The sequence below is a fragment of the Homo sapiens genome, chromosome 3 (assembly GCF_000001405.40).
Source record: "Homo sapiens chromosome 3, GRCh38.p14 Primary Assembly".
In the NCBI taxonomy this organism is placed as follows: domain Eukaryota; kingdom Metazoa; phylum Chordata; class Mammalia; order Primates; family Hominidae; genus Homo; species Homo sapiens.
Window position 1 is genome coordinate 196211408 of NC_000003.12, and position 22657 is coordinate 196234064.

At 51.2% G+C, this 22657-nt stretch overlaps 1 protein-coding gene and 2 long non-coding RNA genes across 10 annotated transcripts, besides 6 other annotated features; 2 read left to right on the forward strand and 1 right to left on the reverse strand.

Moving 5' to 3' along the window:
• Positions 1 to 7: 7 nt before the first annotated feature.
• LOC124909479 (uncharacterized) lies at positions 8 to 3235 on the forward strand. The gene is made up of 4 exons (XR_007096240.1): positions 8 to 232; positions 1214 to 1370; positions 2314 to 2490; positions 3016 to 3235. It is a non-coding gene; the product is annotated as an uncharacterized LOC124909479 (long non-coding RNA).
• Positions 2356 to 8984, reverse strand: LOC105374304 (uncharacterized). Of its 7 annotated transcripts, XR_001740542.2 has the most exons (5): positions 7951 to 8984; positions 7257 to 7352; positions 3603 to 4510; positions 2778 to 3091; positions 2356 to 2504 (listed from the first exon to the last, which is right to left on the reverse strand). It is a non-coding gene; the product is annotated as an uncharacterized LOC105374304 (long non-coding RNA). The 7 variants fall into 7 exon arrangements; XR_001740544.2 differs by lacking the exon at positions 3603 to 4510 and having other exon boundaries at positions 2778 to 2937; XR_001740546.2 differs by lacking the exons at positions 7257 to 7352; positions 7951 to 8984 and adding an exon at positions 5655 to 5905 and having other exon boundaries at positions 4469 to 4510.
• Positions 5127 to 22020, forward strand: SLC51A (solute carrier family 51 member A). 2 transcript variants are annotated; one of them, NM_152672.6, is made up of 9 exons: positions 5127 to 5343; positions 6435 to 6529; positions 15558 to 15712; positions 16257 to 16330; positions 16708 to 16866; positions 17402 to 17513; positions 18508 to 18654; positions 21012 to 21117; positions 21656 to 22020. In NM_152672.6, the coding sequence occupies exons 1-9, from the start codon at positions 5306 to 5308 to the stop codon at positions 21790 to 21792; spliced, it is 1023 nt and encodes a 340-aa protein (NP_689885.4). In that variant the 5' UTR covers positions 5127 to 5305; the 3' UTR covers positions 21793 to 22020. The 2 variants fall into 2 exon arrangements, with proteins under 2 accessions (NP_689885.4, XP_047303618.1); XM_047447662.1 differs by lacking the exons at positions 5127 to 5343; positions 6435 to 6529 and adding an exon at positions 14322 to 14389.
• Positions 7829 to 7978: an enhancer, noted in NCBI's record as "active region_21079". NCBI's record gives its function as "activates an Ori minimal core promoter by ATAC-STARR-seq in GM12878 lymphoblastoid cells {active_cell/tissue: GM12878}" and the evidence as "EXISTENCE:reporter gene assay evidence [ECO:0000049][PMID:35858748]".
• Positions 7829 to 8238: a biological region, named in NCBI's record as "Sharpr-MPRA regulatory region 7098".
• Positions 7891 to 8185: a silencer, noted in NCBI's record as "tiled region #7098; HepG2 Repressive non-DNase unmatched - State 8:EnhW". NCBI's record gives its function as "represses a minimal TATA promoter and a strong SV40 promoter by Sharpr-MPRA in HepG2 cells {active_cell/tissue: HepG2}" and the evidence as "EXISTENCE:reporter gene assay evidence [ECO:0000049][PMID:27701403]".
• Positions 8059 to 8238: an enhancer, noted in NCBI's record as "active region_21080". NCBI's record gives its function as "activates an Ori minimal core promoter by ATAC-STARR-seq in GM12878 lymphoblastoid cells {active_cell/tissue: GM12878}" and the evidence as "EXISTENCE:reporter gene assay evidence [ECO:0000049][PMID:35858748]".
• Positions 21145 to 21214: an enhancer, noted in NCBI's record as "active region_21081". NCBI's record gives its function as "activates an Ori minimal core promoter by ATAC-STARR-seq in GM12878 lymphoblastoid cells {active_cell/tissue: GM12878}" and the evidence as "EXISTENCE:reporter gene assay evidence [ECO:0000049][PMID:35858748]".
• Positions 21335 to 21624: an enhancer, noted in NCBI's record as "active region_21082". NCBI's record gives its function as "activates an Ori minimal core promoter by ATAC-STARR-seq in GM12878 lymphoblastoid cells {active_cell/tissue: GM12878}" and the evidence as "EXISTENCE:reporter gene assay evidence [ECO:0000049][PMID:35858748]".

Genomic DNA, 22657 nt, shown 5'->3' on the forward strand with positions numbered 1-22657 from the left:
GAGCCGCAGCCCAGGGTGAAAGGAAAGAAGGCCCAGTGTGACATCACAGAGGCTGGGGGACCTCAGCAGAACTGTCTGCAGCCCTGCTCTAGCTGCCTCCGGTGACAGGCACTTCCAACAGCAAACCCCACCCCCACCCCGACATGTGCTGGGGAACCGGGAGTTCCTGCCCCTGAGAGGCTGATGTTGTTGGAGAAAATATGACCTGGAGAAACACATGGGAAGAAAGTTGGTAATTTTCAGCCGGCGCTGTAATCCCTGTAATCCCAGCACTGTGGGAGACCGAGGCAGGCAGATCACTCGAGGTCAGGAGTTCGAGACCAGCCTGGCCAACATGGTGAAACCCCATCTCCACTAAACATACAAAACTAGCCAGGAGTGGTGGTGCACGCCTGTAGTCCCAGCTACTCAGAAGGCTGAGGCAGGAGAATCACTTGAACCTGGAAGGTGGACGTTGCAGCGAGCCAAGATCGCGCCATTGCACTCCAACCTGGGTGGCAGAGTAAACTCCATCTCAAAAAAAAAAAAAAAAAAAGAAAGAAAGTTGCTGGGTTTTTTTGTTGGTTTGTTTTGTTTGTTTGTTTGTTTTTGAGATAGTTTCGCTCTTGTTGCCCAGGCTGGAGTGTAATGGCGCAATCTCGGCTCACTGCAACCTCTGCCTCCTGGGTTCAAGCGGTTCTCCTGCCTCAGCCTCCCAAGTAGCTGGGATTACAGGCATGCATCACCATGCCCGGCTCATTTTGTATTTTGTAGTAGAGACGGGGTTTAGTCATGTTGGCCAGGCTGGTCTCGAACTCCTGACCACAGGTGATCCACCCACCTCAGCCTCCTAAAGTGCTGGGATTACAAGCATGAGCCATATTAAACTTCCTTTATAAAAGGCCTCAAAAAGAAGAAACTGAGGCAGAAATTTAAAAATAAATATGCATTCATTCACTCCAAGACAAGTAACAAGCAAGGCAAAAGTTAAAAAGAAAAGAACAAGTTTTCCTCTGCCCAGCAAGCTCACTTCAAGGACAGTTATAAGATAACGCTGTTTAAGAGGCCAAGGCCAAAAGAATAAGCTCCAGACACCCCTCGCCTCCAGAGCAAAGTTGAAGAAAAAAAAGAAAGACAAATTCTTTGACTGTTACTCCTTTCCCAGGTTTCTTAAGCATGATTATGTTTTACAAATGTCTGTATTTAGCCAGTTCTTGTTTTTCTTTCAATGCAGCTACAAAGTCACCAGCTATGCAAGGCCACAAGTTATGCTATAGATGATGTGACCTGTCATATGATTAACTACTTTTATTTATTGGAAGTCTGCTTATAAAAACCCCGCTCTGTCTTTGTTCGATGCTCAGCTTTTTAGATGACAGTCCACTAAGCCAGTGCGTACCTGAAATAAACAGTCCTCTCGTTCTCTGTCTCAGTCTTGCCAGTCCTCAGTTTCCTGCAACATCTCTACTAAAAATACAAAAATTAGCCAGGTGTGGTGGTGCGCACCTGTAATCCCAGCTACTCGGGAGCCTGAGGCACGAGAATCGCTTGAACCTGGGAGGCGGAGGTTGCAGTGAGCCGAGATCTCACCATTGCACTCCAGCCTGGGAAACAAGAGTGAAACTATGTCTCAAAAACACAGAATAAAAGAAAAGAAAAGATTATGCAAAATGGAAGAAACTAGGCACAAAAAGCCACATATTGTATGGTTCCACTTACATGAAATATCCAGAGTAGCCAAATCCATAGAGATCAAAAGCAGATTCACAGTTGCCAGGGTGTGGGAGGAGGGGGACTGGAAGAGATGAGGTTTGTTGTTGTTGTTTTGAGACTGAGTCTCACTCTGTCGCCCGGGCTGGAGTGCAATGGCACCATCTCAGCTCACTGCAATCTCTGCCTCCCGGGTTCAAGCAATTCTCTTGCCTCAGCCTCCCAAGTAGCTAGGATTATAGGCACCTGCCACCATGCCCAGCTAATTTTTTTTTTGTAGTTTTAGTAGAGACGGAGTTTCACCATGTTGGCCAGCCTGGTCTCGAACTCCTGACCTCAGGTGATCCACCCACCTCAGCCTCCCAAAGTACGGGCATTACAGGAGTGAGCCACTGCACTCGGCCTAATTTTTGTATTTTTAAGAGATGGGGTTTCACCATGTTGGTCAGGCTGGTCTCGAATTCCTGACCTCAAGTGAGCCACCTGCCTCGGCCTCACAAAGTGCTGGGATTACAGGTGTGAGCCACGGCGCCCAGCCTCTTTTTTGATTTTTCAAAACTGACTCTCATATTAAGGAAGCCAAAACTTAAGTGATAACTGAAATGATCGTGTTACTGACCACAGGTTCTTTAGGCTCCGATAAAAATTGACACGAGGCCAAGCAAATTTCCCAGACAAGGCTTTATTAGGGGCTTCCGTTCCACCACGGGGGAGACAGCACCGCAGGGAGAGGTCTCCGGCTGGCTCCCCAGGGGACTGCGTTGTGGCGTCTCGAGGAGGGCGACACGCGTAATTCATGAGGTAGGTGAGCGTCCCTGCAGGAGTGACAGAACGCACAGGGATAGTTAGGAATCGCGGTAACACATACATCGCAGGATCAGAACACGACGAGAAAGCCTCTCCCTGGCAGAGGCTTTTGTTTTGTTTCTGTCTGTCACCCAGTCTGGAGTGCAGTGACAAGATCTCGGCTCCCTGCAACCTCCGCCTCCCAGGTTCAAGCGATTCTCGTGCCTCAGCCTCCCGAGTAGCTGGGATTACACCACCACACCTGGCTAATTTTTGTATTTTTAGTAGAGACGGGGTTTCACCTTGTTGGCCAGGCTGGTCTCAAACTCCTGACACCTCAGGTGATCCGTCCGCTTCGGCCTCCCAAAGTGCTGGGATTCCAGGTGAGAGCTGCCGCGCCGAGGCAGAGGTCTTGGTCTTGTAATGAGGCCGAGGGTAAAGAGTGGTCGTGCTTCCGGCTTCCTGCACACAAAGGCAATGGAGTTCATTCCCTGAAGTACAAGATTGGAAGTGCGACGCTGCCTATCTTCATTTTTCAAGGTCGTGTGATCAGTGGATGTGGCATTTTGTGTAAGATTTACAGTGGAATGCTGCTTATCTTAATGCTTTCACTGTCCTTCAATGAGCAGGTAAGAAAAAAAAAGGAAGAAAGAAAAATGTTGGGGGGGGGAATGCATTAGCGAATGCATTAGTGGAGTTGGCAGCCGAGTCCCATCCCTCCTCTGTCTCAATAAGTGTCAGATGATGCTATCATATAATTTTGTGGGAAAAAATAGGCCAAAGAAATGAAATTCAGAAGGACTTATTCTTTTTGGTTCTAAAATCAGTTTCTGAGAGCTGGCAGGCCCCAACTGCCAAGAGGAGACCCTGGCGGCCACAGCTCATCCTCTCTGACCAAGCCTTAGCTGGGGATGGGCCGGCCTCCAGGCAGGGCCTCCCGCTGGCTGGATCCCGGGCCACACTGTACAGAAGACAACCCCGTAGAGACCTTGGGTGGGGCAGAAGCCCCCTTCCCTCACTGACACCCTGCCGGTCTCTCCTGGGGTCTCCCAGTCTCTGCTGCCCAGTGGGGAAGCACCCGTCTCAGCCCAACCGCAGCCCCCCCCGGCTCCCTCCTGCCCTTTCACCTTTCCTGCCATTCCCCACTGTGTCCTGAAGTTTCTAAGAACATCCCCAGCGCCCTGTTGTCAGCTCTGGGAAGTCTAAAGTTCAGGGCTTTGGGTAATTAAACCCAAGGCCTCTCAGTGGGCTGGGGGTGAATGACCTGGCGAACGTGCCTGCGGAGATGCTGGGAGGAAGCTGAGTCAGTCTGCGTCTTTGTCAGGGTGGGCTGAGGCCAGTGACCCTCTGGGGGTCAGGGCCCTTGCAGGCCTCTTCCTTCCCTGACCTCCACCTTAGGAGGCAGCTGGCCCCTGAGACGCCTGCCTCACGACATTGTCCTGTCCCAGGAACTGGACTTTAGGAGGAGGGGAAGCTGGAGGGGGATGCAGCTTGACTCTTGGGAGAGACTTTGAGGTGTCTGGGCACAGGAGTGGGGAGTCCTCCGGGTACCCCATCAGGGACTGCTTCCACTGCTTGTATGGCCTCACCAGCCCAGCGCAGGAAGCCCCCTCTCCCTTCCCAGAATTGACCCTCTGCACCCTCTCCTGGGCCCTCTTCTCACTACCTCCATCTCCACCATGCCCCAACAGAGCCCCTCCCCCAGGCCCCTTTGGCCGCTCTCCACACCCCACAGCTTTCTGTCTGACCTGGTTTCTTAGCCTCTCTGGACCTCAGCCTCCTTATCTGTAAAATGGGAATAAGGATACTACTTCCCTTGTAACGCGGTGGTAAAGTTTAAATAAGCTAAGGAACACACTGCATGTCCTGCGGGCCCTGGCACACCAGACATGCTGACAGACGCTGGCTGCTTTCATCAGCTATGCAACCAAATTCTAAGGGGCCCTTCGTATGTGTCAGGCTGCGTGCCAGGAACCTAGAGGTACCACCGTACCACAGTACAAGATGCTGTGTCTGGCTTCGAAGAGATTTCAGTCTATGTGGAGAGAGAGAAAAGGGAAGCTATCAGCCAATAAAATCGTTTGCAAGCCTGTAATTCAGCAGGTTTTCAAGACCTGTCAAATGCCCAGCAATCTCACTCTGCAACTCTGCCTCTTAAATACAGCATCTTCCGGCCCAGCGTGGGGGTGGCTAAGCCCATCATCCAGATGTGATGAACTGGGGTCTGGGAAACCCACACCGGCCTCATCTGGCTTTTCCAGCCTGTCCTCCCTTCCACACATCAGGCTGACAGCACCAAACACGGCCGAGGCCTCAGCCCTGAGTCTCCCCGCTGCAGAGTGCCCAAGCCTGAGTTCCAGCAGGTTCTTCAGGGGCCGCTGACCAGGGAACACTGCGGTGAGGAGCGAGGACTTCGTCCCCACCCCGGCCCAGGGCAGGGGCTTCGTGGTGAGCCCACCCCACCCCAGAAGGCTCCTGGAAGGGCAGGGCAGACTGGCAGCAAAATCCTATAGGATGGGCCGGGCCAGAGGCAAGGGGTGGCCAAAGGCACCTGTCCAAGAGGTGGGAGGGACCACACCTGGGGGCAGGGACGAGTCAGGCACAGGGAACTCCGCCAGCCTAGAGGATCAAATTCCTCCGGGGTGAACTCTGAGATAGAAAGTTGGCCCGGGAAGCTCAAGGAGGGAGAGCGGCAGAGGGGAAGACTCTGCAATTCTGCTTGCCCCCCACCCCGGCCCAGGCAAGCCACCCTGCCCCCGGCCCCCACCTGCCCGCCCCGCCTGCCCTTCCTCACCCCGGTGCCTGCGGGATTGCTGGAGAGAACGCGGCGATGGAGCCGGGCAGGACCCAGATAAAGCTTGACCCCAGGTAAGTGAGGGCGGCGGGCCCTGGGCCAGTCGCTGGGCAGCGGTGGCCCCTATCCCGCGGCCTGTCCTCTCTCCCTCCCAGAGCCCTTTGGCGGCCGCACTCAGAATGAGACAGGACTGGAAATGCTCTAGCTGTTCCTAGGTCCTCAGGGACAACGTGGGTTTGGGCCAGGGTGTGACACTCCAGGGCCTCGGCCTTGCCCCCCAGCGTGGGGAGAGAAAGGTCGCAGAGCGGGGGCTGTGGAAGGCATTCGCAGAGGAAATGGCAGCATCCCTCAGCAGCAGGGGGCCCGTCCGTCTGTAAGGACTCACCCTTCCTCTGGGATCCTGCTCTTCCTCTCTGGTCAGTCCCTGGGCTGCTGCCCGACCCGCATGGAGAGAATCCACGGTGGGCTCTTCAGGCACGGCAGCCAGGCACAGCCTGGCTAGGTGGCAGCTTGTCTTACTCCCCCACCTGGGCCAGTTCTCCACTCCCTCTAAGAAAAGGGCCCTGAGGCCGGGCGCCTGTAATCCCAGCACTTTGGGAGGCTGAGGCGGGAGTCCAGGAGTTTAAGCCCAGTTCCAGTTTGAGTCCTGGAGTTCGAGACCAGTGTCTGAGCAACATGGCGAAATCCTGTCTCTACCAAAAATATAAAAAATTAGCCGGGCCTGGTGGCGTGCACCTGTAGTCCCAGCTTACTCATGGGGATGGGGGTTGAGTAGATCACTTGAGCCCAGGAGGTCAAGGCTGCCTGTATGAGCCAAGACAGACCACTGCACTCCAGCCTGGACAACAGAGCAAGACCCTGTCTCAAAAAGAAAAAAAAAGAAAGAAAAAGGAAGGAAGGAAGGAAGGAAAGAGAAGGGGAAGGAAGAGAGAAAGAGAAAGAGAGAGCAGAAGGAAGGAAGGAAGGAGAAGGGGAAGGGGAAGGGAGAGAGAAAGAGAAAGAGAGAGTGAAAGGAAGGAAGGAAGGAAAGAAAGAAAGAGAGAGAAAGAGGCCCTGAGGGGAAATGGACAAAGTCCTGCACTCAGGAGTGGTTGAGGGTCCAGTGTGCAACCCTCCCCCTTCCCCCAGCCCCCATGGTTCTGAGCACAGGCTGGTGTCTCGCCAGGTACACAGCAGATCTTCTGGAGGTGCTGAAGACCAATTACGGCATCCCCTCCGCCTGCTTCTCTCAGCCTCCCACAGCAGCCCAACTCCTGAGAGGTGAGTGGGGACCCTCCTCAGAGGGAACTGAGAGGAGGGAAACCAGGATAGCTGAGTGGAGCTGGGGAGAGGCGGCCCTGAGCTGGTGCACCTGGGCAGCCGGGGAGAATAACTGGCCCGGTGTCTGTCATCGTGGTTAAGGCTCTGGAGAAGGGCAATGCCTCAAGGAGTCAGTGGGTCAAAAGGGTAGCATGAGAGCCTGGCTCCGGAGAGCAACCGTCATGTTGGGCCTCCACAAAACTGGCCTCAAAGCTCATTCAAACTGCGGACACTGCGACCTGGGGCGCTTTTTCAGACCCCAGAGCCATCTGGGGACCCAAGATGGTGCCCAAGTGGTCCAAGCCCCATCGGGTCTCCTGGAGGGCTGCACGGCATCCGCCCTGGACCCATGTCACTCTAGAGGGTGGTTACGGTGAGTGACGTGCTTCACACAGGTGAACCAGTTGTATTTGTTTTACGATCCAGCCTTTCTGAAAAACCTTTGTCCTCACTGGAGCATTCTGTTGTCGGGTTTTTGTGTGTGTGTTTGTGGGTATTTGCCTCATTCCACCCCTGAGCTCTCAGGTGGACAGATGGGATTCAAAAACCTGTTCTACAGTGTTTATTGTAGTGGAGTAATTTGTTTGCAATAATAAGTCATAATTGTCCACTGAAGGGGAGGGTGTGGGGATCCCCGAGGCCAGCTCAAGTTCAGCTGTTGGAAGAATTCCTTGACTGGAAATTTTACCTTTGCGTTTTGTCGCTCTGTTTCCTGAAGATAACTTGGGGTGCTCCTGGTCGTCCATCTACTGCTTTGATTCCTTGGATCCCACCCATTCTTTCACTTTAAGAAAAAACAAGTAATTGTTGCAGAGGTCTCTGTTTTGCAGCTTCCCTTTTGCAAGAAGCACTTTTTCCAAATAAAACAGTAATTAAAAAAAAAAAAACATAGGTGAACCTGCAAAAGTCCTCGCAGTGTTGGCCAACAAGATTCTATTACTGAATTACTTTTGAAAGTGAAAGGCATTGGCTGGGAGCGGTGGCTCACGCCTGTAATCCCTGCACTTTGGGAGGCCGAGGCAGGTGGATCACTTGAAGCCAGAAGTTGGAGACCAGCCTGGCCAACATGGTGAAACCCCGTCTCTACTGAAAATACAAAAATTAGCCAGGCGTGGTGGCGGGCACCTGTAATCCCAGCTACTCGGGAGGCTGAGGCAGGAGAGTTGCTTGAACTCGGGAGGCGGAGGTTGCAGTGAGCCGAGATCACGCCACTGCACTGCAGCCTGGGCAACAGAGTGAGTGAGACTCCGTCTCAAAAATAAAAGAAAAAAAAGGAAAAGAAAAAGAAAGTGAAAGGCATAGGATGGGGCTCAGCTTATTCCCCGGACACCAAAAACATTGAGAATCACGGCCCGAGCATGCTTAGAGAAAATGTGACTCACGCCTGCGTTTTATTTTGTTTTCCTGCTGCATACTGACTACCTCTGAAATGTTGGATACAAGTCTGTGTCTCTGTAGCACATTTAACACGTTTCCCAGGCAACAGGAAGCTCTCAGTGTGCGTTCTGTTGCAGACGTGGGCGTGTCCTTGGGCTGTGTAGGGCTTCATTTCAGATGATCTGAACCAGAGCGGTTGCCAACTGCCAGTGTCCGGAGATGCCTGGTGGCCACTCTGTGGTTAGTGGCAGTAGGTGGCTGCTACATCTAGTTCCAGTGAACCTCCTGTTGAGAGAGTGCAGCTGGTGGTACAAGCCTTCCCTTACACAGCAGCTGTCCCCCCAGGGAATATTTGGCAGTGTCGGGAGACTTCCGGTTGCCACACTGGAAGGTGCTACTGGCATCTCGTGGTCAGAGGCCAGGAAAGCTGCTAAACTTCCTACAGGGCACGGGAAGAGCCCCCACAGAAAAGATTATTCAGGCCAAAGTGTCAATAGTGCTCAGGTTGAGAAACCTTGCCTCACGCAATGAAAACGGTTCTCACATTGCTTTGCTTCAGAATGTGCAAACGGAAACCCCAAGGCTGTTCAGAACAGGCCATTCTGAGTCTGCTAGTCCAGCAAGCCTCGCCGCAGGCAGAGTGGGGAGGATTTGGCCAGCGGGCCCTCCTGGGACAGGGAAGCTGCGAGGATGAGTTCGGGGACGCCCCAGGCCCAGGGGAGCGAGGTCTGGCAGGATTCAAGGATCCTGGTGGAAGAGCAGGGGACAATTGAGAGGGCCGGGCAGGAGAGGTGAGGCCCGCTGCGCGCCGGGCTGGCGGAGGAGCTGTGCTTTATCCCGCAGCGAGAAGGAGCTCGTGAAGGCTCTGAGGCTGGGAGTGGCTGGATGAAAGTCGTGCTTCTCGGCCATTCGTTAGTAATCAGGATGGACTGCAGAGGAAGAGGCTTAAGAAGCAGGGATGCGGCCGGACACCGTGGCTCATGCCTGTAATCCCAGCACTTTGGGAGGCCGAGGCAGGCGGATCATCTGCGGTCAAGAGTTCAAGATCAGCCTGGCCAATGTGGTGAAATCCTGTCTCTACTGAAAATACAAAAATTAGCCAGGTGTGGTGGCGCGTGCCTGTAATCCCAGCTACTCAGGAGGCTGAGGCAGGAGAATCGCTTGAACCCGGGAGGCAGAGGTTGCAGTGAGCCGAGATCTCACCATTGCACTCCAGCCTGGGTGACAGAACAAGACTCCGTCTCAACAACAGCAAAAAATAGGCAGGGATGTAAATGAGAGGTCGTTGCCCCGGCCTGCCATGCGGGAAAAGAGTCTGAGGCAGGGCAGTGGCAGGGAAAGAAGAGGAAGGGTTGGGAAACAGGCAGTTCAAAGAAAGAGCAGGCAATCTAGGAAAGACCTAGGCGTGTAAGTGCTGGTTCTGGGCAATGGTGACGGCACAGCCAGAAATAGGAGAAGCAGGAAGAAGTGCCTCTGGGAGGCTGTGGCGAAACTCCTTCCTCGCTTCATTTGTAAACTTTGTTGTTCCTTAATTTTTCTTTTTTTTTTTTTTTTTGAGACAGGGTCTCACTGTGTCACTCAGGCTGGAGTGCAGTGGTGCGATCTCGGCTTACCCCAACCCTCCACCTGCTGGGCTCAGGTGATCCTCCCACCTCAGCCTCCCTAGTAGCTGGGGACCACAGGCACATGCCACCAAGCCCAGCTAATTTTTGTATTTTTTTGTAGAGGTGGAGTTTCTCCATGTTGCCCAGGCTGGTCTCGAACTTAAAATTAAATGCTAAGAAAACTATTTCAGGCCAGTCACGGTGGCCCATGCTGCAACCCCAGGAGGTCGAGGTTGCAGTGAGCTATGATTGCACCACCAGCCTCAGCCTGGGCAACAGACCGAAACCCTGTCTCAATTTAAAAAAAAGAGAGAGAGAAAAAAAAGCTATTATTCTAGAAGAATGATTGAATCAATTTTTTTTTTTTAATTTTAAAATCACGGCTCACGGCAGCTCGAGCTCTGGGCTCAAGTGATCCTCCCACCTCATCCTCTCGAGTAGCTGGGACTGCAGGCACACACCACCATGCCTGGGCTAACTTTCAATTTTTGTAGAGACAGAGTCTGACTTCGTTGCCCAGGCTGATCTCAAACGCTCCAGCTCAAGCGATCCTCCTGCCTCGGCCTCCTGAAGGGCTGGGATTACAGGCGTGAATCACTGCGCCCGGCCTTAAAGCTACTTTTTATTGAACAAATACTACACGCCAGGTGCTTTGCTAAGAAGCTTAAGGAGAGGATAAGTAACCTGTCTATGGCCATAGAGCTATTAGTAAGTGGCATTTTACTTTGTTTTTGTTTGTTTGTTTGTTTGGTTTGGTTTTTTGTTTTTTTTTTTTAAGAGACAGAGTCTCGCTCTGTCCCCCAGGCTGGAGTGCAGTGGTGTGATCTCAGCTCACTACAAGCTCCGCCTCCCAGGTTCACGCCATTCTCCTGCCTCAGCCTCCCGAGTAGCTGGGACTACAGGCGCCCGCCACCACACCCGGCTAATTTTTTGTATATTTTTTAGTAGAGACGGGGTTTCACCGTGTTAGTCAGGATGGTCTCGATCTCCTGACCTCGTGATCCGCCCGCCTCGGCCTCCCAATGTGCTGGGATGACAGGCGTGAGCCCCCCCGCCCGGCCTGGCATTTTGCTTTGAACTCAAGTGTCTGACTCCAGTGCTCTACACTGTGCTCCTAAGCTACTGGAAGCAAATATGCAAGCATGGAAATAATTTTTGGTTAGAAAGCTGGGATTATGGGTGATTACTCTTTTTTCAAATTCTTATTTAATGTTCCTGTTTTCATTATTTTAAAAAGTAGTCTTTGCTATTCCAGAGACAGTGGGAAATTTAATAGTTGCTATAAGTATGATTATATTCAAAATGGTCAACTAGACAAGCATTTCCCAAAGTCTCAGACTCTTAATCCCAAGGAGTCCTTCATGGAAACAGAGTTCTGTAGGAAGTTAAGTTTTGTGACCAGGCACGGTGGCTCACACCTGTAATCCCAGCACTTTGGGAGGCCGAGGCGGGTGGATCACTTGAGGTCAGGAGTTTGAGACCAGCCTGCCCAACATGGTGAAACCCTATCTCTACTTAAAATACAAAAATTAGCTGGGCATGGTGGTGGGTACCTGTAATCCCAGCTACCTGGGAGGCGGAGGCAGAAGAATTGCTTGGATCCACGAGGCGGAGCTTGCAGTAAGCCGAGATCGCGCCACTGCACCCCAGCCTGGCGACAGAGTAAGGCTCCATCTCAAAAAAAAAAAAAAAGTTAAGTTTTGTAAAAGGTGCGTTCTAGACCCTCCTTTTGGAAATTTACAATGTAAATTAGCAGATTAAAAATGTCAGTATGCTCTGCAGGAATCATCACATTTAACCTTAATGCATTTCCAAAAATTCTTCAGCTGTGGAATACTTTTGTCCCATAGTGTCTATTTAGATGCCCTTTTGGGGAAATTGAGTTTAACCAGCAAAGAAGAGGCCATCTCCTAAGAAGATAGTTTGATGGACAGACCCAGTATCGGGCTATGGATGCTAAGGAACTTTTCCTTTCCTAATTAGAGTACCAAAGGCAACAGTTAGAAGACACTGCAAAACCATTTGTGTTGAACAGTCAGAATCTGCCCCACCCTCACCTTCATAAATGGAACGGCCCTCCCAGGGTTGCCTTTGATGATCTCTCCCATATCCACGAGTACACACACCTGGAGTCACTGTGTGTCATGGTTAATAAGAGTGTGGGCTTAGTCACGAATACCTGCGTTTAAATCTCTGCTCCTTCACTTCCAGGCTGTGTGACCCTGGGAGATGTGCTTCCTTCTCTGAGCCTCGTTTCCTGAAAAAGTCTATGAAATGCAGATGATGATAGGAATTCTCATAGGTTATTTCTTTCATTCAACAAATAGTTACAGAGCCGTTACTCCTCCGGGCGTTTGAGAACAGAGCACAAGCTTGACAAGGTCCCTGCCTCCGTGGAGTGTGCACCACAAGGTGGAGAGCCGAGAATAAGCGAGTAAACAGCTGTGTAAATACAAATAGCCCTGATGTGGGCGGAAGGAGGACATAACGTTACCCGGAATGGAGATTTTCACGGAGCAGGGAGCAGTTAGGGAAATGAAGACTGGGAAGGACTGGGTTGGTGGCGTGTGAAAGGGCAGTTTTTACGCTCTCCAAGGGCTGATGAGCACACGGGGCTGGGGGTAAGAGAGGCTCTAGCAATGGCCCCCGCTTCCCAACCACAGAACATTGGTTTTGGAAAACCACCTGCATTAATGTTGGCTTTTTCCTATCTGGACTTTGCCTATTGTCTGAGTTTTTTTAATTAAACATTTCTATTATAAAAATCATTCAGGTTTAGTTAAAAAAAAAAAAAGAAAGAAAGAAAATACAGAACAGTAAAAAGAGAAAAAAATCATCTACAGTCCCACCCAGAGACAGGCACGGCAAATATCTTAGTGTAATTTCCTTTTTTTTAATGCCTTTTTTTTTTTTTTTTTTTTCAGACAGAGTCTGGCTCTGTGGCCCAGGCTGGAGTGCAGTGGTGTGATCTCAGCTCAATGCAACCTCCACCTCCCAGTTCAAGCAATTCTCCTGCCTCAGCCTCTCCAGTAGGTGGGATTACAGGTACTCGCCACCATGCCTGGCTAATTTTTGTATTTTTGGTAGAGATGGGGTTCCACCATGTTGGCCAGGCTGGTCTCAAATTCCTGACCTCAAGTGATCCACCCGCCTCGGCCTCCCAAAGTGCTGGGATTACAGGCATGAGCCACTGTGCCTAGCCCTTTCTCTATGTTTTTATTTAACATTTGTAGAAATCATACTATTCCTAAAATTTTATGTTCTGTTTTTGTAAGCATGATACAAAATAAATTTTTCACATCATTGTATATTTGGAAAAATATGTTCTTTTCTAAAAAAAGGTTTATTTTTGTTATAAATACATATTCATTATAGAATAATTGGAAAAGAAAGACACTAGGGATTTTCACACACCGAGAAAAGGCCATGTGGGGACACAGTAGAAACGCGGTTGTCGGCTGGACCCGGTGGCTCACGCCTGTAATCCCAGCACTTTGGGAGGCCGAGGTGGGCGGGTCAGTTGAGGTCAGTTCAAGACCAGCCTGGCCAACATGGCGAAAACCGTCTCTACTAGCTGGGCGTGGTGGCAGGTGCCTGTAATCCCAGCTACTTGGGAGGCTGAGGCAGGAGAATCACTTAAACCTGGGAGGTGGAGGCTGCAGTAAGCTAAGATCAGACCAGTGCACTCCAGCCTGTGCGACAAGAGTGAAACTTCGTTGAAAGAAGAGAAGGGGGCGGGGCGGGGGGGGGAGGAGATGGGAGGGGAGGAGAGGGGAGGAGAGGGGAGAGGGGAGGGAATGGGAGAGGGGAGGGGAGGGGAGGGGAGGAGAGGAGAGTTGTCTGCAAGTGGAGGAGAGAGGCCTCAGGAGAAATCAAACCTGCTGACACCTTGATCTTGAACTAGCCTCCAAAACTATGAGAAAATAAATTTAAGTTGTTTAATTTTTAAAAAAGTGACTACTCAGAAAAGATAGAAAAAAGTAAGTAGAAAAGAAGACACAAATCATCCATAGTCCCATCACCCAAACATAAGCATTGCTAACTTTTTTCAGTATTATAGGTATTTTCCTTTTTTTTTTTTTTTCACCCAGGCTGGAGTGCAGCGGTGTGATCCTGGCTCACTACAGCCTTCACCTCTCCCGGAGTAGCTGGGACCACAGGCAGGCGCCACCACACCCGGCTAATTTCTGTATTTTTAGTAGAGGTGGGGTTTCACTATGTTGGCCAGGCTGGTCTTGGACTCCTGGCCTCAAGTGATCCGCCCACCTCAGCTTCCCAAAGTGCTGGGACTACCAGTGTGAGCCACCGTGCCCAGCCGAGGGTCAGCGTATTTTTTGACAAATTCACCCATAGTCCTGGTTGGTCCTGTGGTGCCACCAGGTGCGACTGACCGAGACAAGAGCTCCAGCTCAAGTCTGTACCGTGGCCACCTTTCTCCCTGTTTTGGTTTCAGCAGTCATATTGCTCCCACTGAGCTGCCCTCATGTTCCTTAGTCACCAAAACACAGAGCAGACTAGCTAATCCCTTCCTCGTGCTCACCCCGCAAGGCAACAGGACAATGACTGGAGTGTGGCAGTTTTCTCCCTTTCTTCCTCTTATCTAGTCAGGTAGCAGGTGCAAAGGAGGGTCCAATAACTAGAAAAGACACTTAGATAAATGACCACAGGTTCACTAAGGACCTAGAACCCTTTCTTTAAAACTAACGGCTGCATTAATGAATCACGTTTGTTCGGAAACACATATTGTGACTATATTCATTTTTTTCTGTTAGCAACGGTGAGGCCAGATGAGGTCTACCAGTATTTGTCAAAGTGTCTGCTATCCTCCGACCACTATCAGGTGAGCTTGTTAAAAATGCAGATGACTGGGCCCATCTCAGATCTATGGACGCACATGTCTGAACGTAGGGCCTGGGCAGCTAGCTGCTTTTTAACAACTCCCAAAATGACTGCAATATCCACGAAAGTTTGAAAACCTTGGACTATAGTTCATGTAAGACCAAGCATGAGGCCAGCGTGCGTCAGGTGTCCTTGGGGTTTTTATTTGATCCGTTTCTCTTTTGTTGAAGTTCTCCCCTGGCCGAGTGTGGTGGCTCACGTCTGTAATCCCAGCACTTTGGGAGACCAGGGTGGAAGGACTGCTTAAGCCTAGGAGTTTGAGACCAGTCTGGGCAACGTAGTGAGACCCCGTCTCTACAGAAAATGTTAAAAATTAGCCGGCCGTGGTGGGGGTGCACACCTGTAGTCCCAGGCTACTTGGGAGGCTGAGGTTGGAGGATGGTTTGAACCCGGAAGGTCAAGGTTGCAGTGAGCCATGATCACACCACTGCCCTCCAGCCTGGGCGACAGAGTGAGAACCTGTCCTCCTCCCCACAAAAAAGTTCTCTGCTAATGTCCTGGTTTCACCATATAATTTTGGTGAAATCAACTTAAACAGATCCAGAATGTCCCATAAATTATATTCGGCTTCAATTATGTTAATTGATCTACATTCGCTAGTGCAGCACCTGGCACTGGAGATAGAAAAGTGAAGTGGGGTTGGGCACGGGGGCTGAGGCCTATAATCCCAGCACTTTGCAGGGCCAAGGCGAGTGGATCACTTGAGGTGAGGAGTTCGAGACCATCCTGGCCAACATGGAGAAAACTATCTCTACTAAAAATATAAAAATTAGCCGGGCATAGTGGTGGGTGTCTGTAATCCCAGCTACTTGGGAGGCTGAGGCAGGAGAATCACTTAAACCCAGGAGATGGAGGTTGCAGTGACCCAAGTTCACACCACTGCACTCCAGCCTGGGCAACAGAGTGAGGCTCCGTCTTAAAAAAAAAAAAAAAAGAAAAAGAAAAAAAAAAGACTATTTCTTAGGTTGAATACTCTAGGTCTAAAAAATCCTCATTCCTGTGCACGGGTGGGAGCCTAGATCCAGTAAGGCAATTTCGATCCGAGGAACAAGCCCAGGCCTTCTCCCGCTCAGTCCCGGTCGTCAGCTCTCTGCCTTCTCCTCCTCTAGCCCTGGGCCCTGTGGAACTTGCCCTCACTAGCATCCTGACCTTGCTGGCGCTGGGCTCCATTGCCATCTTCCTGGAGGATGCCGTCTACCTGTACAAGAACACCCTTTGCCCCATCAAGAGGCGGACTCTGCTCTGGAAGAGCTCGGCACCCACGGTGAGGCCCCCGGGGCTGCCCTGTGGGGGGAACTGAAAAGAAGGCAGAGACCAAGGTGAGAATTCCTCTAAACTCAGCACGTCACTTCGGCAAAGAGTGTCCTGCCACGACCCGCGGAGGGCCGAGGTTTGCAGGCCGACCTCCCCTTGCAGTTAGGATCCTCTGCTTGGAAGGCTGTGCAGTGTTTGCATTCTAAGGGCTGCGGAGACAGCTGGAGATCTGCTCAGCCCACCAGCCGCCTCATCCTTGCTCCCCGCTACAGTGTTGCCACTTGAAGAGCTTCCTTCAGTGGTTCCTCAGAGTGTGGGGGAAAGTCTCATTCCACAGGGTCACACTCAGCTCCACCCTTACGCTGAGGCTTTTGAAACACCCTCCCACAGGTCCTTGGTTTGCTTGACTTAATTAGTGCTTTTTCCAGCTGGCAACGTTTAAGGAACGCTGCCTCGAATGTGTAGGTTTTGCCTCCTGTGTCCTTGCCGCAAAAGGCTTCCGGAGCCTCAGGGTCTCCCTCCCGCCCTCACCTGCTCCTGCCCCTTCTGAGCAGGTGGTGTCTGTGCTGTGCTGCTTTGGTCTCTGGATCCCTCGTTCCCTGGTGCTGGTGGAAATGACCATCACCTCGTGAGTGCCCTGCCTCGCCCCACCTCCAAGGGCCCCTCTGCTCCCGCTCACCAGGACTCGAGTCCGTGTCCTTGATCCCAGCTGACCATGTATCTGGCCCTTCCCAGCTTGTGCTAGTTCCGGGCTCTTGCGCTCCTGGCTCTGCTCAGGGAATGCCTCATTTTGGCATCTGGCACATTCCTCAGCCAGCCCTCTGTTCCCACAGTCTGAAATTCCCCTTCTCCCAGTCCTGTGGGCCGTCTCCTCTCCCTCGCCCCTCTTGGGTCACACACCCAGAACGCCCAGCCCTAGCTCTGCTCCTCAGTAAGCCCCACCTCTCCCTGCTGTCTTTCTCTCTGGCAGCAGACCTCGTAGGCCCTCTTCTCTCCCCACCCCAGGTTTTATGCCGTGTGCTTTTACCTGCTGATGCTGGTCATGGTGGAAGGCTTTGGGGGGAAGGAGGCAGTGCTGAGGACGCTGAGGGACACCCCGATGATGGTCCACACAGGCCCCTGCTGCTGCTGCTGCCCCTGCTGTCCACGGCTGCTGCTCACCAGGTGAGGCGGGGCCAAGGTGCCTTCCCCAGGAGCCGGGGAGCCTCTCCTGGACCCCTGGTCCCCTTCAAGGCTCTGGGAATTAGGCGTGAATAGGCCAAAGCCAGTGACGGAAGGGTGGGCATCCCACGGCCAGGACCCACGGGCGCCACCCTCAGGGGACAGGGGAGCAGAGGAAGGAGAGCTCCTCAATTGTCATCACTGAACTTCACTGCACCCTGCAAGCCTTAGCCACACAGAGAAAACTGGACTTGGGGCCATTCGCTTGCCCCTTCTGCCCACTTTGGTGAATGAGGTTGAGGTCACACTCCCAGACCTCGCTCCAAAGACGGAATTCTTGTCTGGAGGTGAGTGGGAGACCAAGAGGGTTCCCAGCACTCTCAACATTCTGCTTTTTTCCTCTGTCCCCATCCACTTAACCTGGTTGGTGTTTATGACAGCAGCCGAGCCTCAGCCCAGGAGCCCTGTGAGGAGCCGGGGCGTCTTCCTGGGGCAGGGGGTTTGTGGGCCCATGTTCCTAACCCTCTTCCCCACTCAGGAAGAAGCTTCAGCTGCTGATGTTGGGCCCTTTCCAATACGCCTTCTTGAAGATAACGCTGACCCTGGTGGGCCTGTTTCTCGTCCCCGACGGCATCTATGACCCAGCAGACGTAAGCCGGGAGTAAGGGACAGCACAGTCCAAGACTCATTTAGTACCTTTGTGTTCTAAAAGGAATCACCAGAGCCAACACCCCTTGACAGAGGGCCCCAGAAAAGGGTGGCTGTGGGAAAACAGAGGCTCAGGGACTGCCAGGGAGAGAACCGCAATAGGCCAGGCCCCCGGGCTTTTTCATTACCGTTCCTGCCGTGGGAGAGGAGAGCTCAAAGGAAGCACCAGGTGCCATGATGCATGGCTCACGAGGCCGAGGTGGGAGGATTGCTCAAGAGTGGGAGTTCAAGACCAGCCTGGACAATATAGCGAGATGCCATTTCTAAAAATGTTTTTAAAATTAGGCTGGACATGGTGGCTCACACCTGTAATCCCAGCACTTTGGGAGGCTGAGGTGGGAGGATCACTTGAAGCCAGGAGTTTGCGACCAGCTTGGGCAACATAGTGAGATACCATCTCTTTTTTTTTTTTTTTTTGAGACGGAGTTTCTCTTTTGTCGCCCAGGCTGGAGTGCAGTAGCGCATCTCGGCTCACTGCAACCTCCGCCTCCCGGGTTTAAGTGATTCTCCTACCTCAGCCTCCTGAGTAGCTGGGATTACAGGCATGCACCACCACCCCCGGCTAATTTTGTATTTTTCATAGAGATGGGGTTTCTCCATGTTGGTCAGGCTGGTCTTGAACACCTGACCTCAGGTGATCCGCCCGCCTCTGCCTCCCAAAGTGCTGGGATTATAGGCGTGAGCCACCACGCCTGGCCCATCTCTATTATTAAAAAAAAAAAAAAGTTAGCTGGGAATGGTGGTGTGCACCTGTAGTCCCAGCTACTCAGAAGCCTGAGGCGAGGGGATCACTGGAGCCAGGAGTGTGATGCTGCAGTGAGCTATCATTGCACCTCTGCACTTTCAGCTGGGTGACAGAGTGACACCATCTCTTGAAAGAGAGAGAGAGAGAGAGAGAGCTTGCCTGCCTCACTGACTACTTTCTGTTGCCACCAGATTTCTGAGGGGAGCACAGCTCTATGGATCAACACTTTCCTTGGCGTGTCCACACTGCTGGCTCTCTGGACCCTGGGCATCATTTCCCGTCAAGCCAGGCTACACCTGGGTGAGCAGAACATGGGAGCCAAATTTGCTCTGTTCCAGGTAACTATACCCTGGGAGAGAAAAGATGTTTCATAACCGAGCTACAGATAGTTGGGGTTAGTAAGTGAGGCCAATAAAGGCTAAAGTGGGCCGGGAATCTTTTTCATAAGCCTCACGTCTCTCATGAGATTTGGAAAATGATTCCTGTGCTTCCCGCTTTTGTCTTTCTGTGCTGGAATTGTTTCCCAGGGCTGCCATGACAAAATACCACAAATCAGATGGCTTAAAACAACAGACATGTCTTGTCTCATTGTGCTGGAGGCTAGAAGTCCACAGCGAAGGAGCCAGCAGGGCCCTGCTCCCTTTGAGCCCTGCAGGGGGTCCCAGCCTCTCCCTAGTTTCCTAGTTGCCAGCAGTCCTGGACCATCCTTGACCAGCATTTGCGTCACTCCCATTTCTGCCTCCATTATCTCGTTATATTCTCCCCTTGTGTTTCTGTGTGTCTTCTATTTTTTTTTTTTTTTTTGAGACAGAGTCTTGGTCTGTTGCCCAGGCTGGAGTGCAGTGGTGCCATCTCAGGTTAAGCAATTCTCTTGCCTCAGCCTCCCAAGTAGCTGGGATTACAGGCATGTACCACCACGCCCGGCTAATTTTGCATTTTTAGTAGAGACGGGGTTTCGCTATGTTGGCCAGGCTGGTCTCAAACTCCTGACCTCAGGTGATCCACCCGCCTCAGCCTCCCAAAGTATTGGGATTATAGGCGTGAGCCACTGTGCCCCTCCATCTCATCTATTTTTAGGACACCAGTCAAATTGGATTAAGGGCCCACCCTATTCCATTATGACCTCATCTTAACTAATTACATTTGTAACAAACTGTTCTTAAATAAGGTCACGAGTACCGGGGGGCAGGACTTCAACATAGCTTTTTGGGGACACAATTTAACCTGTAACACGTGTGTTAGTTAACAAACCTTACATTTGTCTCCTTGCTTCTTCCTTTCCTTTTCTACCTATGACTTCCTAAAATCCTATAACCCATCAACACCAGCAGAAGCATTAGCATTAGCTACAGGACCTACCTACACCATGTGCCGGGCACTTTCACACATTACACTTCAATTTTCACAACCCCAGGAGTCATTTTTCCCATTTTACAAAGGAAGAAACAGACCCAGAGATGTTCTTGCTCAAAGGCACATAAGGAACGGGGCTAGAATTTATACCCAGGTATGTCTTGACTCCTCCACACATCTGTCTTCTCCTTACCCTGCCCTTCATCTTCACAACGCTTCTGAAAATTCTCTCAAAGGCATGTTGGCCCACCTTCTACGTGCTGCCTTCTCTAACCTCAAAGATGACTTTTCCACCAAATGCAATGACTTCTAACCCAGTCTTGTTCTCCTTCTCTCTCCATCCTGTCTCCTTGCTGGTCTTCTACTCCCAAGGCATAATGACTGCCCTACAGTTTAACAGAGTGAGTTCACGTACATTCTCATTTGATCTACGTACATGCCTCCCAAATGTGAACTTCCAGGCACATAGGAGGTAGAATGAAAGGGGCTATGGGAATAGAGAGAGAAGTCCCCGGAATGAGTCAGGGACTGAAGGGGCAGAAAGGTTCTGGGTCCCAGAAGTACTTGAGACCAGGCCGAAAGATAAAAGCCGTGTGATGGCCGAGCCTGCCCATGGTTAATGTGGGGGAGCCTGGGTGAGCCACGCCAGCCTTGAAGAAGCTGAGGTTTCCACACAATGTACTCAGGGAGGGCAATACTAAGATAAATGGTGCTTCCAGGGCTTCTGGACAGTGATCTTCTTCTTCTCCCCTTTTGCCTTCTTTATTTGGTGAAATATTGATAAAATTTGCCATTAATGATTTTGAAGTGTCAGGTTCTGTGGCATTAAGTACATTCCCATAGTTGCACTACCATTACCACCGTCCATCTCCAGGCACCCATTAAACACATTCCCCATTGCCCTCTCCCTGCAGTCTCTGGGATGGCAGAGCTTCCAAAGGGCATTTTAATGGTTAATTGTCCATTATTCTAGGAGCAGGGACCTCAGGCACTTGAGCTAGATGGAATGACTCTTCTCTAATCACCCATCTCTTTATCCATTGAGTGCTCATTGGTAGCCATGGCTGAGAAAGGGAATTAAAAATGAACCCTTTAATCAGTTCTTATATCTTGTCAGAAACTCTAATAAACTACTGGGTAGAAAATAAGAATGTCATTTGCCTAAAGATGAAAATCCCACAGATTTTTAATGAAGTGAGAGCCTCAACCCTCTGTGACTGCACAGATCTGACGGTGGGTGGAACCTGCCCAGCGGAAGGGCAAGGCCCGGCAGTGGGCTGGCTGCGTTCTGTGCCGTGAGGGCAGGCCCAGTCCACCCTTGCCTCTCTTTTATGTTCCGCAGGTTCTCCTCATCCTGACTGCCCTACAGCCCTCCATCTTCTCAGTCTTGGCCAACGGTGGGCAGATTGCTTGTTCGCCTCCCTATTCCTCTAAAACCAGGTCTCAAGGTGAGCACGTTAAGCCTCCTGTCCCATCGTGGGATGGATGAGACGGGGAGAGTCAGGAAAGAAGGGGCCCCAGAACAGACATTAGGCCAGCCTGACTTCTGCTCAGAGTGTTCAGAAGGGATCTTCGGGAAATCCCAACAGAGGCTTTAAGGAAACTATGACCTCTCTGATCACACAGAAGAGAAGTGAAACCCCACAGCTTGAGGCCAGCCCTGAGGGCCAACCCAGGAAGCCATGGGTTCAGTCCTCAGCTCCTGGGAGAGGAATGGGAATGGTTAAAAAACAGAAGCCCATGTTGATTGAACACACATAAGAAATGGACTGTATGCCAGCCTCAGAGCACAGAAGTAGACAGCCAACTTCCGGTTCTGGCTCTACCATTAACCCGCTGTGTTATTTATGACAATTTCGTATCCCTAAGTCCTGATTTGGGGATAAACTGGAGAAAGTGTTGCTCAACTCCCGTGCCCGGGCTGCTAGTAAAATACCACCTCTGTAACTCAGCATAACCTACGCTGTATTTCACCCTACACTGCAGTGATGAATTGCCACCTCCTCATACTGGAGACTTTTCTAATGACTGTGCTGACACGAATGTACTACCGAAGGAAAGACCACAAGGTTGGGTATGAAACTTTCTCTTCTCCAGACCTGGACTTGAACCTCAAAGCCTAAGGTGGATGGCTTGGACAATGAAAGGATGCTGTACTCATTAGAATACAAGATTCCTTTACTGTCCCTCAACCTTGACCAAATGGGAAGCATTCCCCCTTGTCAACACAAGCTGGCAGATACATTTGACTCTACAGATGAAGGTGAACAATGTTAGAATAAAATTGCTTTGGATCTTGCCTGGAAGGTGTTTTAAGTTTTGTAATAAACAAGATGATGTCTGAAAATGTGTAACTGGGCACCTTGCCTCTGTCCATGTCACTATTAACCCTTCAAGGTTGTATATTGCTGGCTAGGTGCGACAGCTCATGCCTGCTATCCCAGCACTTTGGGAGCCTGAGGCGGGAGGATCACTTGAGCCCAGGAGGTTGAGGCTGCAGTGAGCAATGGTTGTGCCATACACTCCAGCCTGGGTGATACAGCCAGACCCTGCCTCTGGAAAAAAAAGAAAGCTTACTGAGCTTTCCTAAAGCAGATGAAAAGAAGAGTATATAGTATTGTGTCTGGCATAAGAAAAGGAGAACTTGGTGAGGTGAAATAGCACCAGCCCAGAGTCTTGAAGAAGCCAGGGGCCCTGGAGAACAGATGGAAGGTGACCTTTCCCTGACAGGTGTGCTACTACGGCACCAACCACGCGGGGCCCTGGTGGTCTGGGTCAGCCTCACTTTGTGGGACAATGGCTTTTGAGTCTTCAGTGACAAGCTAGAAAAGGAATCTCCTGACACTGTGGTCATGGAGCTTGATTTCTAAGGAGAGAGTCAGCACGTGGAAGCAAAGGCACCGAGAGTCCAAGTAAAAGTCCCAAATCCATAAAATGCACCACACAGGTCAAAACACAGGACACGGCCGGGCGCGGGGGCTCACGCCT